Source organism: Homo sapiens, chromosome 6 (genome assembly GCF_000001405.40).
Source record: "Homo sapiens chromosome 6, GRCh38.p14 Primary Assembly".
NCBI lineage: Eukaryota > Metazoa > Chordata > Mammalia > Primates > Hominidae > Homo > Homo sapiens.
Window position 1 is genome coordinate 82926695 of NC_000006.12, and position 18187 is coordinate 82944881.

Below are 18187 nucleotides of genomic sequence, written 5' to 3' on the forward strand. Positions count from 1 at the left end.
TATCTTTTCATATGTTTATTTGCTCCCTGTATATCTTCTTTAGTGACATGCTTCTTAAGGTCTTTGTCCATTTTAAAATCAGGTTGTTTTCTTTTCTCCCAGTCTGTGGCTTTTCTTTTTATTCTCTATAGTGTCTTTTGCAAAGCAGAAATTTTTATTTTAATGAAGTCCAGCTTATCAATTCTTTCTTTCATGGGGTATGCCTTTGCACTGTATCTAAAAAGTCATCATCAGATGCTAGGCCATCTAGAATTTCTTCTACATTATCTTCGAAGGGTTTGTTTGGTATTTTACATTGAGGTCTGTGATCCATTCTGAACTGACTTTTGTAAAGGGTGTAAAGTCTGTATCTAGATTCATTGTTTTTGTACGTGGATGTCCAGTTGTTCCAACATCATTCATTAAAAAGACTAACTTTTCTCTGTTGAAATGCTTTTGCTTCTCTGTCAAAGATCAGTTGACCATATTTTTGCGGGTCCATTTCTGGGCTTTCTATTCTGTTCCATTGATCTATTTGTCTTTTTTTTTTTTTCCCCCACCAATACCACACTGGTGGTGATTACTGTAGCTTTATAGTAAGTCTTAAAGTAGGGTAGTGTCAGTCCTCTAACTTTGTTCCTCCTTCAATATTGTGTTGGCTAGTTGGGGTATTTTGCCTCTCCATATAAACTTTAGAATCAGTTTGCCAATGTACACAAAATTACTTGCTCAGATTTTCAATGGGATTGCATGGAATCTATGGGTTGGGAATCTAGAGTTAGAAAGAAGTGACATCCTGACCACATGTAGTCTTCCTTTCCATGAACACGGAATATCTCTCCATTTATTTAGTTCTTTGATTTCTTTCATCAGAGTTTTACAATTTTCTTCAAAGAGATCTTATACATATTTTGCTAGATTTATATCTACATATTTCACATTTGGGGGGCTAATGTAAAAGGTACTGTTTTTAATTCCAAATTTCACTTATCCATTGCTGGTATGTAGGAAGGCAATTGGCTTTTGTATATTAACTTTGTATCCTACAATCTTGTTATAATCACTTATTAGTTTGGGAGGGTTTTTTTTTTTTTAATTCTTCAGGATTTTCTAAATAAGACAATCATGGCATCTCTGAACAAAGACAAATGCCATTCTGGAAAAAAGCAAAACTATACGGACAGTATTAAGATCAGTCGGTGCCAGTAGTTGTGGGGGGAGGAAGGCATGAACAGGTAGAGCACAGAGTATTCTTAGGGAGATGGAAACTACTCTGTATGATACTATGTTGGTACATACATCATTATATATTTTTTCAAAGTCATAAAATATACAATGCCAACAGTGAACCCTAATGTAAACTATGGACTTTAGGTGGTAAGAATGTGTCAATGTAGGTTCATCAACTGTAACAAATGTACCAATCTGGTGAGGGATGTTGTAATGAGGGAAGTTATCCCCAAGTAGAGGTAAGGGGTATATGAGAATCTCTGAATCTTCCTCCTAATTTTTCTGTGAACCTAAAACTGCTACAAAAATATGCAAAATTTGGTCAGATGCTAAAATGGATCCCGGGAACCGCATATGAATGGCTTTCATTTTAAAGTCAATTCCTGTCAACCACTAAAAATAAAACAAGCCAACAAGTCTCTCAGGGACTTCTGAGAACATTATTAATGTTGTTGTATGTATTATAAAAAAGCACAGGAATAGGCAATAATATGATTAATTTTAAAAAATACATTTCAACTATTTCCTGATTTCTGTAATGAGCTCTACACTGCAAATTGCCACTTCATCATGGTAAATTTGCAAATGTATTGAGAAGCTTAAAAAGATCTTTTAACATCTGTTTCAGGGACACCAACCACCTTATATTAGCCCCTCTGCACATTTAGAAAACAAGATTCATTTACCAAGTCTGCTTAAATTTTAAAACATGAATGCATTCAGTGATCATTTTATTTGCAGAGTAGAAAGAAGCACAAGGGAGCTTCTAAATGTTGGCTCTCATTATACTTCCAATTATTTCAATTATTTCAGATTATGTATAAGGCAATTTCCATTCTGACAAAATGCTGGATAAAGATATCCATGGGAATCCAAACAGCAGCAGTCTCTGTCCATATGGTAAGTTATGTTCTTCTAGGGAAAACAGCTGTAGTTAGGTGAAGTAATATAAATTTGACTGTCTTATGGAAATACTATTCTAACAAAGATATGCATAACAAAACCTAGTCCCAACATTATACAGAAGTGACAACAAACACCTTAATCAATTATTCTGCATTATAATTTCAAACATAATTATTTCAAACATAATTCCAAAAGAACCACATAGCGACCAAAATAAAACTATGGCTACTATGATTCTTGCTTGATTGTATGATCTAAATCCAAGGATGTAGAAACAACATCATCAAAATCATAAAAATAATAAATCTTTCTTCGGGTAAACATAAGATATCCATCCAGTCCACATCCAGTCCAATAAGAAAGAATAAGGACTTTCTTATTCATAGGAGTGGCTCTTCAACAGCCATGTTTGTCTTACATAACTGTGGGCCCTAATCACATCTGATGGAGATCAACACTGACCTATAATAAAATTCTCGGTTTTACCATGGAACTAAGACTTTTGTGGGGAAAGGGTCACTTAATTGTGTTTTGAAAAACTGTAATTTTTGCTAAGCTTTTTTGACAATTAAGGGACAAATTAAGGGCTTTCTCTTACTGAAGATTTCCTATTTTTTGCAAAATTTCTTTACTGATTTTAATTTCATTTTGTTCATTTTTATGAGATTAAAGTGTTTTTGAAAATTCCTCTTTCTAAAGATGCCCTTTTCTGTCAGTCTAGCAAAGTCTAAGTACTTTAGTGGGTTTTTTTGTTGGTGTGTTTGTTCTGGTTGGGGGGGTGGGGAGTGAGTCCTCTGATTTTGTGATTCTCTTACATAATTCTAAGCTTTCCCCCTTTCTTCTTTTCTCCTTCTTCATCCAATTGCTAAAAAGCCCTTCTCTTCTTTTTGCTTTTTTTCTTCTCCAGAAATTATGCTATTTTTAAGAAATAGACTGTTTTTTTAAAGTACACAGCAAAATTGAAAGGAAGGTGCATAGAATTCCCATATTCCCTCTGTATCCACACATGTATAGCCTCCCACATCATCAATATCCACCACAGAACAGTACATTTATTACAACTGATGAGCATACACTGACACATCCTTATCACCCAAAGTCCACAGTTTACATTACTGTTCACTCTTAGTGGTGTACATTCTATGGGTTTGGACAAATGCATGATGATATGGTTTGGCTGCATCCCCCCCAAAATCTCATCTTTAGTTCCCATAATCCCCATGTATCATAGGAGGCACCCAGTGGGAAGTAACTGTATAATGGGGGTGGTGACCCTCATGCTGTTCTTGTGATAGTGAGTTTTCATGAAATCTGATGGTTTTATAAGCGGCTTCTCCCACCCTTTACTCTAATTCTTCTCCTTGCTGCCACCATGTGAAGAAGCACATGTTCCATTTCCCCTTTTGCCACTACTGTGCATTTCCTGAGGCCTCCCCAGTCATGCTGAACTGTGAGTCCACTAAACCTCTTTCTTTTATAAATATCCAGTCTCAGATATGTCTTTATTAGCAGCGTGAGAATGAATTAATACAGTAGATTGTACTGGGTAGTGAGGCGCTGCTGTAAAGATACCCAAAAACGTGGAAGTGACTTTGGAACTGGGTAACAGGCAGAGGTTGGAATAGTTTGGCAGGCTCAGAAGAAGATAGGAAAATGTGGGAAGTTTGGAACTTCCTAGAGACTTGGAGGGCTCAGAAGACAGAAAGATATGGGAAACTAGAGACTTGTTGAATGGCTTTGACCAAAATGCTGATAGTGATATGGACAATGAAGTCCAGGCTGAGGTGGTCTCAGATGAAGATGAGGAACTTCTTGGTAACTGGAGTAGAAAGGTCACTCTTGCTATGCAAAGAGACTGGCAGCATTTTGCCCCTGACTTAGAGATCTGTGGAACTTTGAAGTTGAGAGATATGATTAGGGTATCTAGCGGAAGAAATTTCTAAGTGGCAAAGTGTTTAACAGGAAGCAGAGCATAAAAGTTTAAAAAATTTGCAGCCTGACAGTGCAGTATAAAAGAAAAACTCATTTTCTGGGAAGAAATTCGAGCCCACTGCAGAAATTTGCGTGAGAAACAAGGAGATGAATATTAATCACCAAGACAATGGGGAAAATTTCTCTAGGGCATGTCAGAGACTTTCATGGCAGCCCCTCCCATAACAGGCCTGGAGGCCTAGGAGGAAAAAATGGTTTCGTGGGCCAGGCCCAGGGCTGCCCTGCTATGTGCAGCCTAGGGATTTGGTGCCCCGCATCCTAGCTGCTCCAGTCATGGCTAAAATGGGCCAAGGTACAGCTCAGGTTGTGGCTTCAGAGGGTGCAAGCCCCAAGCCTTGGTGGCTTACACATGGTGTTAGGCCTGTGGGTACACAGAAGTCAAGAACTGAACTTTGCGAACCTCTGCCTTGATTCAGAGGATATATGGAAGTGCCTGGAAATCCAGGCAGAAGTTTGCTGCAGGGGTGGAGCCCTCATGGAGAACTTCTGCTAGGGCAGTGTGGGAGGGAAATGTGGGGTCGGAGCCCCGACCCAGAGTCCCCACTGGTGCACCACCTGGTGGAGCTGTGAGAAAAGGGCCACTGTCAACCAGACCCAGAATGGTAGATCCACTGACAGCTTGCACTGTGCACCTGGAAAAGCCACAGACACTCAACACCAGCCCAGGAAAGCAGCCAGGAGGGGGGCTGTACCCTGCAAAGCCACAGGGACAGAGCTGCCCAAAGCCATGGGAGCCCACCTCTTGCATCAGCATGACCTGGATGTGAGACATGGAGTCAAAGGAGATCATTTTGGAACTTTAAGGTTTAATAAATGCCCTATTGGATTTCAGACTTGCATGGAGCCTGCAGCCCCTTTGTTTTGGTCAACTTCTCTCATTTGGAATGGGTGTATTTACCCAAAGCCTGTATACTCATTGTATCTAGGAAGTAACTAACTTGCTTTTAATTTTACAGGCTCATAGGCAGAGAAGACTTGCCTTATCTCAGATGAGACTTTGGACTCGGATTGGGTTTTGAAATGTGAGTACATGAGATCTGGGAGGGGCCGGGGTGAAAAGATATAGTCTGGCTGTGTCCTCACTGAAATCTCATCTTGAATTGTAGTTACCATAATCTCCACATGTCGTGGGAGGGACCCGGTGTGAGGTAATTGAATCATGGGGGTGATTACCCTCATGCTGTCTCCTGATAGTGAGTGAGTTCTCATGAGATAAAATGGTTTTATAAGGGGCTTCTCCTACCTTCACTCTCATTCTTCTCCTTGCTGTCACCATGTGACATGTGTTCACTTCCCCTTCCACGATGATTGTAAGTTTCCTGAGGCCTCCTAAGTCATGCTGAACTGTGAGTCAATTAAACCTCTTTTCTTTATAAATTACCTACTCTCAGGTATGTCTTTATTAGCAGCATGAGAACAGACTAATACATATGATGACACATATCCACCACTACAGTATCATATAGAGTAGTTTCACTGGAAACAATGCTTGGGAAGACTGACCCATTAAATGATACCTATCCTTTTTAATGATGATTGTCCATTTAAATAGTATCTGGTCCTATAAAATGGTGTATCTTTAAATGGTGTATCTGGTCCTATATGGCCTTTGGCTTTTTAAATCATGTGACCTTAAAATCCCTTCCTTATACTCCATGCTGTGATCTGCTTGGTCATTTTCCCAGCATTTTAAACTTTAGGTTAAATTTAATCTTTCTGGTGGCGATTCCAAATCACCCTTAGGCACTGTCACTAGGCTATCTTTTCTGTTTTCACAGTTTTTCTTGGTCTGTTTTGCCCTCCATGAAGCCTGGCATGAATGGAAGTGTGGAAGAAGTGTGAGGAACTGAACACTGGAACTTACTTATGTTTTTTCCCTATTTATCCACAGCTATTTGTATTTTTGTATTCTCTGCCTATAAGTAATGCTAAGGGTGTGGCTTTGTGCAGTGTTTTCCTAATTGGAAAGTTGTTTTTTGTTTTTAGTTTGGGAGACTGATTACTACCCAATTGCCATTGTTTTCTGCTACCAGGAAATGTGTATGGAGCATTTTTAGACACCAGGGGACATGCTAGAGCATGGAGAGAGAGAGGAACACAACTTTTCAATTAATAAAACATAGCTAAAAGAGAAAAGCAGGGCTCTAGTTGTCTGTTATAAAGAATGTGACAGTATGAGAGGGGAAAACCTTTAATTTTGTGTATCCAGGGTCAAATTCAGGCAGTGGCTTCTCTTGTTGATTCCTGCCACCTGACCAAGCAGATTTGGGTTTTTTTGGGGGGTGGGGGAAGATACTAACAAAATGGTTTATAACACTGATAAAAGGCATCACCTTCACAGTATGACTCTCTAGGCCTTCAACATTATGCAATGATGGTGATAAGCACCTGAAAGACAAAGTTTAATAAACTCTTTTATATCCAGAGCAAATGCATCTTTAGTTTAGACAGATTTTATAAAGCTCCTAAGCAGCAAATGGCAAGATAGGTTCTGGATACCAACACAACAGAGTTAAGAAAAACGGAATAATCCAGTGAATAGTGAGCCAGCTTTACTGTCATGAAAAACAATTTCATTTTCATTGCATGCAACTCTAAAAGTAAATACACAGTCACAATCCATTTACCTGTAGAAAGCACTCTGCAATTTGTGGACTAAACCACTGACAACATTTAGCAGACAACTTTAGGGATGTTGAAGTCTATTATGATATAAGGTATTTCATTCCCCTAGCATGCCACCCACCCATCCTGAACATCCTTGACTCCATAGGTAGAGTGTAGTGGTAAAATGTGATACCAATTACATTAACTATACAAATGGCCACAACTTGCCTTTTTTACTCACAAAGTGCTTTCACAGATGGGAAGGGCAGTTGTTATTTTCCTTCTACAGATACGAAATGAAAACAAAGGTTAAATCATAGAGAGCCAAAGATTACACTAAAAGTCTTTGCCTTCTTCAAATATCAGGCAATGACAGATAAAATATAAAATGAGAGAATTCCAACTAATAGCTATACTCAGAAAACAAGCTAAGCACTTCCATGGACCAGAAGCACACAGTGTGGAGGCAGAGCTAAAGCCACGTGAGTGCCTAGTGGGGCTAAAGTTAAGGTCTTTTCATTTCCAAGGTATCAAATTAAAAAAAATCATTATGAGTGATATGGTCTGGCTCTGTGTCTTCACCCAAATCTCAGCTCAAATTGTAATCCCCATAATCCCCAAGTGTTGAGGGAGTGTCCTGGTAGGAGGTGATTGAATCCTGGGTGCTGTTTCCCCCATGCTGTTCTCTTGACAGTGGGTGAGTTCTCACAAGATCTGATGGTTTTATAAGTGTTTCACAGCTTCTCCTTCACACACTCTCTCTCACCCACCGCCATGTAAGACATGCCTTGCTTCCCCTTCCACCATGATTATAAATTTCCTGAGACCTCCCCAGCCACGTGGAACTGTAAGTCAATTAAACCTCTTTTCTTTATAAATTATCCAGCCTAAGGCGGTTCTTTATAGCAGTGTGAGAATGGACTAATACAATGAGGACATTAAACACAGCTTGTAAATCTTTTTACTTTGTTCTGTTATTTTAATTTTTTAACAGAGGGGCTGGACTTAGACTGCATGATGTTTATGAAAGGAAACCAAAGAAAATTGTTGCTGACAAATGCTGCAAGTTACGACTTACATGGGGTTTCTCATCTAGAGAAATAGAAAAACACAGATATAGATGCAGAAGCAGCTGCAAAACTACCATGGGGGTGGGGCAAGTTGTGGGAAGGAGTAAGGAGGAGAAAACAGTTGTTAAACAAGGTGAGCTTGCAAATCAAAATTCCAAAACACATGAAGACATCTAATTTAGCCACAAAATTAACAAGTAGAAGAATAAGCACTTTCAGAAAAAAATAAAATAACAGAACCAACTAAGAATATTTATAGGCTATGTTAATATCTTCATAGAGATTTTTAAAATGTGATACCTTGGAAATGAAAATATATAGCCACTGAAATAGAACTCAATAGTGGAGATAAACAACAGAATGAGTGAACTGGAAGATCTAGTACTGAGGAATTTATTCTGATACAGCTCTGAGATAAAAGTAAGTATGAGTGTGTATTTACAAATCACATATATATATATGTATATATGTATATATATGAAAAAACAGTTAAGAGACAAGGAGAATAGGCAAGGAGAATGCAAGAATGACTCTAATAGTATTAGACCATTCTTGCATTGCTATAGAGAAATATCTAAGACTGGGTAATTTATAAATAAGAGAGGTTTAACTGGCTCATGGTTCTGCAGGCTTTATAGGAAGCATGGTGCTGGCATCTGCTTGGCTTCTAGGGAGTCTTCAGGAAGCTTACAATCATAGCAGAAGGTGAAGGGGAAGCAGGCTCATCACATGGAGAAAGCAGAGCAAGCAAGAGAGAGGGGTGGGGGTGCCACACACTTTTAAACTAGCAGATCTTGTGTGAACTCAGAGCGAGTGCTCACTTATCACCAAGGAGCTAGCCCATGCCATTCATGAGAGATACACCCCTGTGACCCAAACAGCCTCCCACCAGGCCCCACCCACCTCCAAAATCTTGGATTAAAATTCAACATAAGATTTGGATGGGGACAAATATTCAAACTACATCACCAATATATGTCTAATAGAAGGTCGGAATGAGGAAATGGGGGTGGGGATAATGGAAATTTAATATATAATAGCTGATCATTTTATAGAACTACTTAAAGACAGGAGTTCTTACATGTATTCTGAGTACTACGTAGAATAAGTTTTTAAAACTCCACACTGAAGACATCACTGTAAATCTATAGTATATCAAGCATGAAGATAAAATCTTACAGGCCAGCAGGAAAAAGAAAGGAGACAGTTTATCTTCAAAGAAATAGCAAATAGTCTTACAACAGCTGTCTTATCAACAAAAATAGATGTCAGCAGGCAATGAGTGATAGATCTTCAAAGCGAAAAGGGGTATAGAATTCTATACTTAGCTTAGCCATCACTAAAGACTGTGAACAAAATGAAGACATTTCCAGATGTACAAAGACTAAGAGAGTTTCCCATTCACAAACTATCAGTGACAGGAATACTACAGGAAGTGAGATGCAAGAAAAAAAAAAGCCTGACAATTATATGTATTAGGTAATGAACATGAAAATATTTAAAATAATGGATTTTTGTGTTTTTAAGTGGAACCAGGAAAAATAATACATAATAGTAATGGGGAAATGTGGGATGAGAGGGTGGAATGTGCCTAGAGGTGGTAAAAAAAAAACAATGGTAAGGTCTTTGCTTGTTTAAAAAAGGTAAATATACTGAACAATTTAGTCTCTGCTAGAAAATCCTAGATATATTCCATCCTGCCCCTGCCAAAGATTGTAGACGTCAGTCTAACTACATTAGTGAAACAAAAATGTAATATAAACAGATTTAACTCTGCTATTTAAAATAAAAATACCAAGAACAAAGCCTTCTATTTTAAGTGCTCTGATTTCTGCTAAAAACATTAGCATATTTTGGGGACTCAATGAAAAGCAGCTGATGGTTCAAATGATCAATGTCTCAAATATTTATTGCCTTTACAAATGATTTTCAAGCTGAAGTTAAATCAGAAGAAAATAATAATTTACTACCAGCAGGAAGAGAACCAGAAATATAGGGACTATGGACACATACAGGTTTTGTTTTTTTTTTAATGAAGAACTGCATTCAGTTCTAAAGAGTCAAGATAAGGAGCCAGCACTGAAACATTATTCTGCCAATTTAGTCTGTGCTCTGTTATCACAGCTTTGGACTATATACCAGACAACCTTTGTATGCTATGGATTAATCACACTGTCTTAAATTTCTGAAAGCCAACTGTTGATGCTAATTGCTTTAAGCCCCTAATTGAAGCCCCTTCCCTGCTGCCCAGACATGATCACTTGGTTTGTGACCATCACTTCCAACCTCCAAACCCCAAAGAAGCAATGTGCTAATCTCAGAGAAGGGCAAACTGGATGATAATTTTTCTTTTTCAGGCTAGTTTAATCCACAAGCTCTTACACTTCTGTGAAACTTTCAACTACTAGAAGTTAGAATCAGTTTAGCGCAGGAGGAATGAAAACACTAGGGTATAGACAGGGAAAGTGACTTAGGTCCAGTCACGCTGGTTGCTGGTTTCATAACAGTCATGAAGGAGCCCAATCATATCTTCCACCTCCACTGCAGGCCCTTTTCTTTACTGCTCCATAGATGAGGTCTATAAGAGCAAGGACCAAAGGGACAATAAAATAATTTCATTCTTGTTTCCCATGCTTCCTTTGGCTTATTTCCATTTAGACTAGAAAAGATCCCCCAATACCTCTTCTATTCTAAATATTCTCACTTTGCTGAAATGATTACTCACTACCAGGAGGGCTCACAAGAGGTTCTCAATGGAGGCTTGAGAACAGTTTCACCTTCCAAACTACATTCCCTTGAAGGCTGACATCCTCCCCAGGCTGTTGTTTCCCCCTTCTAACAAAACAAAACAAAACAAACAAACAACAAAAACAAAAACACACAAAAAAAGCTCCTGAGAACAACACAGCAGCTCCCTCCATGAGTGAAGCAAGCTCAGTTATTTCAATCTTGATCCCACTTTGTTTCTAAAAGCAGACACATATCTTTAGCCTCCTTTCCAAGGAAGTAAGACCCACCACTTGACTGAACACAGCCATGCTCAGTGTGTGGGAAAGAACGAAGTCCTCTCAGTAGCAGCTCCAGGCAACAGAAGAGGCTCACATTTTAGAAATCTTTCTTGGAGTAACTATACTTATAAGTAAAATACAAAGACAAAATCACTGAAAAATTCCTAAGCCATAAATGTTTCAATGTGCACCAAGAACCAGAGTGAAAAATAAAAGGGGAAGCCGAAAGTGCAAAAAGTCTAAGGGAGGGTAGAGAAGGAAGACGAAAGGGGGGAAATTACGGGCTGTCAGAGAACATTTCAAGTTTCTGTGACAAACAGCCCTTCGGACAGGGTTCTTCCTTTACTAGCCTCCACATGAAAGAGTTACCTATGTCTCAGAGGCAGGAAGAGCCAAGGGCCAGATGGCACCCTAACCCCATCATTCCTGTCCCTTCCTGGCAGCTGTTAGGGAGGTCTTACGGCATCAACTCCATCCTCTTGGAGAGCACACGGGCGTGTGCGCGCGCACACACACACACAACAACCCTATGTAATCTGACTTTATCTATATTTTTCCTCAGTTAAACACTTCTAGGATGTTCACAAGAAATAAGGTTCTATAACATTTAAGGAATACAGTTATATTATGCAGACTGGGTGAATAAATCAGGAACAGCTGGGAACAGACAAAAATGACTCTGTGCCTCTACTTTAAACGAACTTTAAAAACACTTACATATGTAATTTAACCCAACCCTTCATCCCATAGATAACGAAACTGGGATCCATAGAGGGTTATCTGCCTAGAAGAGGGTCAGCAGTCCAGACTAGATCTTGAGTGTCTGACATCAGCGTGAGCGACTGTCCTACCACATCAGACGTGCCGTGAGAGAGAGGACTACAGAGGCTGCACATCCCTGAGAAAAGCAAGAAGCCCGGATATCAGGAGATGTGGGGATGCCGGGTGTTCACACCAATGGCAGAAAGAGGAGTGACAGAGGTAACACCAGGATTCTACAAGACATCTGAGGGTAAAGAGAGAAGGAAAATAAAAAAACACAAACTTGATGACAACTATTCAGTTTAGTGCAATACAGACTGTGTTAAGTGCAGGTTAATAAGGAGCAGTGAAGAAAAGAGGAAAATAATTAAGCTATTTGGACCTGTGACTAGATGTTGTTATAATTAAAATTCTTTCATTTCTCACTTTAGTTGGTGTATATTCTCTTATCACGTGTTTCTTACAGTTTTCGTTCTTGAAATTCCCTATCATACACACTTTTGGATGCTTGTTAATGCAGATTTTTGGGCTCTACTTCAGGGCTATTGAATCGGAATCTCTCTGGCTAGGACTCCGATTTCTTAGATCACTAAGAAATCTAAATTTTAAACAAGCTTCCCATGTATACTGACATTTAAGAACTAGCACCATAGTCTGGTGTGGTGGCATGCACCTATAATCCCAGCTACATGGGAGGCTGAGGCAAGAGGATTGCTTGAACTCAGCAGTTCGAGGCTGCAGTGAGCTACGATCGTGCTACTACACTCCACACTCCAGCCAAGGTGACCGAGTGAGACTGGACACCCTGTCTATTAAAAAAAAAAAAAAGAACGAGTACCATTCATAATAATGTCATCACAGAATTAGACAAACCCTATCTGTCTTCCAGTTCTCCTTATCCCCATTTCTGTGTTACAGATACTGAGGTAAGAGAAGGTGAGTGCTCTCAAATCACAAAGGCTGCCCAGAGCCTGCCAGGCCTTGCCCCTAGGCCTTCTCTCCCCACCATGAAGGACAGATGGACTGAATTGGGCTAGGTAGCCATTGGTTCAATTTTAAGATTCTATATTTTTAGTTTGCTAAAAGTAAAAATATGTATTGTTTTGCTAATGAAAAACCCATACCACATCGTCTATCGTGGGTACATACAGTCATGAGCTGCATAATGATGTCTGATCAACAAGGGACCACATGTACAACAGTAGTCTCATAAGATTATAATGGAGCTGCCCTATATGAGTACACCACTTTTTATCTTTTGTACCATATTTTTACTGTACCTTTTCTATGTTTAGATATATTTTGATACACAAATACTTACCATTGTATTACAATTGCCTACAGTATTCAGTACAGTGCCATATAGGCTTGCAGCCTAGGAGCAATGGGCCATACCACATAGCCTAGGTGTGTAGTAGACTGTCCCAGCCCATCTAGGTTTGTGTCTGTCCCAGCCCATCCAGGTTTGTGTAAGTGCACTCTATGACATTCTCTGTGATGCCTCATGACATGTTTCTCAGAATGTATCTCTATCATTAAGTGATACATGACGGTATTTCCTTTAGAATCAGGAAAAAATTAACTTACTAAACACAACCAAACAAAACAAGAAACATAATTATAGACTTAGTAAGCTATACATCATCCCTGCTTCTCTCAATAAAGCAAAGGGCAGAGCATCCTAAGTCCCATCAGACCTCCCCTACGAAGTGCTACAGAAAGCACAGAAACTGTCCAGCTTTGCCCACAACCTCAACTCCTTGGTAGGGACAGAAATGTCTGAGGGGCAGGTCACGTGGCAGGTATCTGGGTAGGGAATCGGCCTTTTGAAAGATGTGATGTGGCAGCAACGTGGATCTGACTAAATTTCTGGTTAACCTCCAGGCTGTCTGCCTGGCCCCATCCTCCACATTCTCTCTAGAGTATGGCAAAAAGGAGAGTCCAAAATGAAAGGAGGCAGAGGATGAGACAATTCAGATTAGAGAACTGTATTCAACTAAGAATACCTGCTTATTTCCCCAGACCACAGAACACCCTGCAGGGCAAAAAGGAATGAAGATGACAACATCTTTCACATCCAAATTGCTGAGGCAATTCTCAGAAATTGTTTTGAGGAGAGAGATGGAAAATAGGACAGTAATCACTACCTTTGAGAACGAAGTTCCTAAATACAATGACCAGCACTCAAGTCCTGATTATCTTTGCACACTGAGGACAAAGGCATTAGCAGGAAAGGAAAAATAGTGGACACATCCAGGGACCCGAAGGTGCCAACACCACTCCCATCTCAGTTTCCTGGGATGCACACGTGGATTACCACAAGTGCTGAGTGAAAATTCTAGGGAGTGCCTGCCCATCTTGGTTCAGGTCTGTCTGCTTCATGACTACATCTGCAGAAGCCCTTTGACATGTGGAATCACTCACACCCTTCTTCCCTACCCACTCTCAGTTAATAACAGGACCCTGAGACCCTCATATATAATGTCCCCAAGGCCCATTGATAGTCTCTTGGGAAAAGTATATGTCTTCATGCCAGGAGATGAAACAGAGGAAAGAGCAGAGTATTGTCAGTACTGTGCCCCAGCCAGCATCTTCAATGAGCCCAATTTTATATTAATATATATATTTGTGTGTGCGTGTATAAGCAGATATTAAAAATAGGACTAAGAATTACTCTAAAATGGCCGTGCACGGTGCTTCACACCTGTAATCGCAGCAATTTGGGAGGCCGAGGCAGGTGGATCACTTGAGGTCAGGAGTTCAAGACGAGCCTGGCCAATACGGTGAAACCCCATCTCTATTAAAAACACAAAAATTAGCCGGGTGTGGCGTCTGTAATCTCAGCTACTTAGGAGGCTGAGGCAGGAGAATTGCTTGAACCCAAGAGGCGGAGGTTGCAATGAGCTGAGATCGTGCCACTGGACTCTATCCTGGGTGACAGAGCAAGACTATCTCCAAAAAAATAAAAAACAATTACTTTAAAATGTCAATACTGGTTACTCCCAGTGATCTTAATTTTCTTTATATTTTTATGAATTTTCCAATTTTTTTTATGAAAAAAGGTTTTATTTTATATATATAATTAGGGGAAAACATGACTTAAAAAAAAATAATGGCTATAATTCACCCAGAGATGAAAGTGGAATATAACAGATGAGGTCATTTATGTAGTACAATGTTTGAAAGTATATAGAAAAAAAAGAGTGCAGAGATAAAAAGTTCACTTTCTCTTGTCTATAGCCCATTGTTGCTACTTACCTGTAAAATTCCCAGGCCTCTGTCTATCTATTTCTAGGAGCCCCTATAAGTTATTATATTATTATTTTTTAAGTTCTTCAGTAATACAGTTTGGCTCTGTGTCCCCACCCAAATCTCCCTTTGAATTGTAATCCCCAGAATCCCCATGCATCAGGGGCAGGACTAGGTGGAGGTAATCGGATCATGGGGGCAGCTTCCCTCATGCTGCTCTCGTGATAGTGAGTGAGTTCTCATGAGATCTGATAGTTTTATAAGCATCTGGCATTTCCCCTGTTGGCACTCATTCTCTCTCCTCCTGCCCTGTGAAGAGGTACCTTCTGCCATGATTGTAAGTTTCCTGAGGCATCCCAAGCCATACAGAACTGTGAGTTAATTAAATCTCTTTATAAACTGCCCAGTCTCAGGGAGTTCTTTATAGCAGCAAGAAAGGACTAATATAGTAAACTGGTACCAGTAGAGTGGGGTGCTGCTATAAATATACCCAAAACGTGGAAGTGACTTTGGAACTGGGAAACGGGCAGAGGTTGGAACAGTTTGGAGGGCTCAGAGGAAGACAGGAAGATGTGAGAAAGTTTGGAACTTCCTAGAGATTATTGAATGGTTTTGACCAACATGCTGATAGTGATATGAAGAATGAAGTCCAGGCTGAGGTGGTCTCAGATGGAGATAAGAAACTTGTTGGGAACTGGAATAGAAAGGTCACTCTTGCTATGTTTTAGCAAAGAGACTGGAGGCATTTTGCCCCTGTCCTAGAGATCTGTGGAACTTTGAGAGATATGTTCTGAAATTGGAACTTATATTTAAAGGGGAAGCAGAGCATAAAAGATTGGAAAATTTGCAGCCTGACAATGTGATGGAAAACAAAAACCCATATTCTGGGAAAAAATGCAAGCTGGCTGCAGAAATTTGCATAAGATACAAGGAGCAGAATGTTAATCACCAAGACAATGGGAAAAATGTCTCCAGGGCATGTCAGAGACCTTCAGGGCAGCCCCTCCCATCACAGGCCCAGAGTGCTAGGAGGAAAAAATGGTTTTGTGGGCCAGGCCCAGGCCTGCATCCCAGCCACTGCCTATTCAGCTCCAGCCATGGCTAAAAGGGGCCAACGTACAGCTCAGGTCATTGTTTCAAAGGGTGCAAGCCCCAAGCCCTGGTGGCTTACATGTGGTATTGGCCCTGTGAGTGCACAGTTGTCAAGAATTGAAGTTTGGGAAGCTCCACCTAGATTTCAGAGGATGTATGGAAATGCCTGGATGTCCAGGCAGAGGTTGCCGCAGGCACAGAGCCCTTACGGAGAACCTCTGCTAGGGCAGTGAGGAGCAGAAATGTGGGGTCTGAGCCCCCACACAGAGTACCCACTGGGGCACTGCCTAGTGGAGCTGTGAGAAGAGGGCCACCATCAACCAGACCACAGAATGGTAGCTCCACCGACAGCTTGCACTGTGCACCTGCACAGACACTCAACACCAGCCCATGAAAGCAGCCAGGAGGGGGGCTGTACCCTGCAAAGCCACAGGGGCAGAGCTGCCCAAAGCATCGGAGCTCACCTCTTGCCTCAGCATGACCTGAATGTGAAACATGGAGTCAAAGGAGATCAGTTTTGAACTTTAAGATTTAATGACTGCCCTATTGGATTTCAGACTTACATGGGGCCTGTAGCCCCTTTGTTTTGGCCAATTTCTCCCCTGTGGAATGGGTGTATTTACCTAATGCCTGTAACCCCACTGTATCTAGGAAGTAACTGACTTGCTTTTTTTTAGAATACCCTATCCACTGTCCCCCTGACAGGGAAAGCAAATTTGACAACTATCTACACACAAAAAAGCACCTTCTTAAGAACCGAAACTCAGCCAGGCACGGTGGCTCATGCCCGTAATCCTAGCACTTTTGAAGCTGATGCGGGAGAATTGCTTGGGCCCAGGAATTCAAGACCACGCTGGGCAACATGGTGAAACCCCGTGTCCACTAAAAGTACAAAAATTAGCTGGGCATGGTGGCATGTACCCGTAGTCCCAGCTACTTGGGAGGCTGAGTTGGGAGGACTGCTTGGGCCCAGAAGGTGGAGGTTGCAGTGAGCTGAGATCACACCACTACACTACAACCTGGATGACAGAGCGAGACCCTGTCTCAAAACAAAAAACAAACAACAACTACAAAAAAAGAACTAAAAATCAGGTAAGGACTCATGGTATCTGATTTTAACTTCATATCACTGAAAAGAATAGGAAACAGTCTTGAATTGTCAATGCCACCCCTCTCCCATTCCCCCACAGCACCTGCACAGCTCAGAGAAATCTGTGCTCTTGAAGGGGGAGAGTGCAGTGAATATGAGACTTCACATTAAACTCAGTGCTTCCTGGTTACAGTGGAAAGCAAAACCAAGTGGAACTCAGCCGATGCCCACACAAGCAGGGAGCATGCAGATCAACCCTAGCCAGAAGGGAATCGCCCATCCCAGTGGTGGGAACTTGAGTTCAGTCAAGCTTTGTTACTGTGGGCTGAAGTGCTCTGGGGCCATAAAAAAACTTGAAACAACCTAGACCACAGAGACTGCAAGTCTTAATGCTGAGCTGGGCTTGGAGCAAGTGGACTTGGGGGTGATGCAACCTACTGAGACACTAGCTGGGGCAGCTAAGGGAGTGCTTGTGCCACCCCTCCCCCAACTCTAGGCAACACAACTCCAAAAGAGACCCCTTCCTTTCACTTGAAGAGAGGAGAGGGAAGAGTAAAGAGGATTTTTATTTTGAATCTTGAATACTAGCTCGGCCACAGTATGACAGAGAACTGATCAGGGTTGTGAGGCCCCATTCCAGGCCCTAGCTCCTGGATGACATTTGTAGACATATCCTGGACCAGAAGGGAATCTGTTGCCATAAAGGGAAGGACCCAGTCCAGGCAAAGCCTATCATCTGATGACTAAAGAGCCCCTGGGCCCTGAATAACCAGTAGTGATACCCAGGTAGTGAGCTGTGGGCCTTGGGTGAGATTCTGAGAGTTGCTGACTTCAGCTGAGACACAACACATTTGAAGCTGTGATGGCTATGGTGAGAAACTCCTTTTGCTTGAGGAAAGCAAAGGGAAAAGTAAAGGAGACTTTGTCTTGCACTTTAGGTACTAGCTTGGTCACAGTTGGGTAGAGCACAAAGCAGGTTCTTTGGTCCCTGAGTCCAGGACTTGGTTTTTAGACAGCATTTCTCGATCTGTCCTGAGCCAAAGGGGTGCCCACTGCCCTGAAGGGTGAGTCCCAGTCTGGCAGAATTCACCACAAGTTGACTGAAGTGCCCTTGGGCCTCATGTGAACATCAGCGGTAGCTTGGCAGTACTCCCTATGGGTTTTTGGTGGTTGTGGTCATGGAGTGAAGCTCTTCTGCCTGT

At 41.1% G+C, this 18187-nt stretch overlaps 1 protein-coding gene across 12 annotated transcripts in view; it reads right to left on the minus strand.

The window, feature by feature from the left end:
• Positions 1 to 18187, minus strand: part of UBE3D (ubiquitin protein ligase E3D) — a 185040-nt gene that overhangs the window by 45893 nt on the left and 120960 nt on the right. The window contains exon 10 of one of the 12 annotated variants that reach the window (XM_011536240.3): positions 6638 to 18183. The exons of the other annotated variants lie outside the window; for them this stretch is intronic. Coding sequence (XP_011534542.1) covers positions 18139 to 18183 — 45 coding nt within the window. The 3' untranslated portion in view covers positions 6638 to 18138. Of the gene's footprint in view, positions 1 to 6637; positions 18184 to 18187 lie in introns of those variants that run through there. 12 annotated transcript variants of the gene reach the window in all.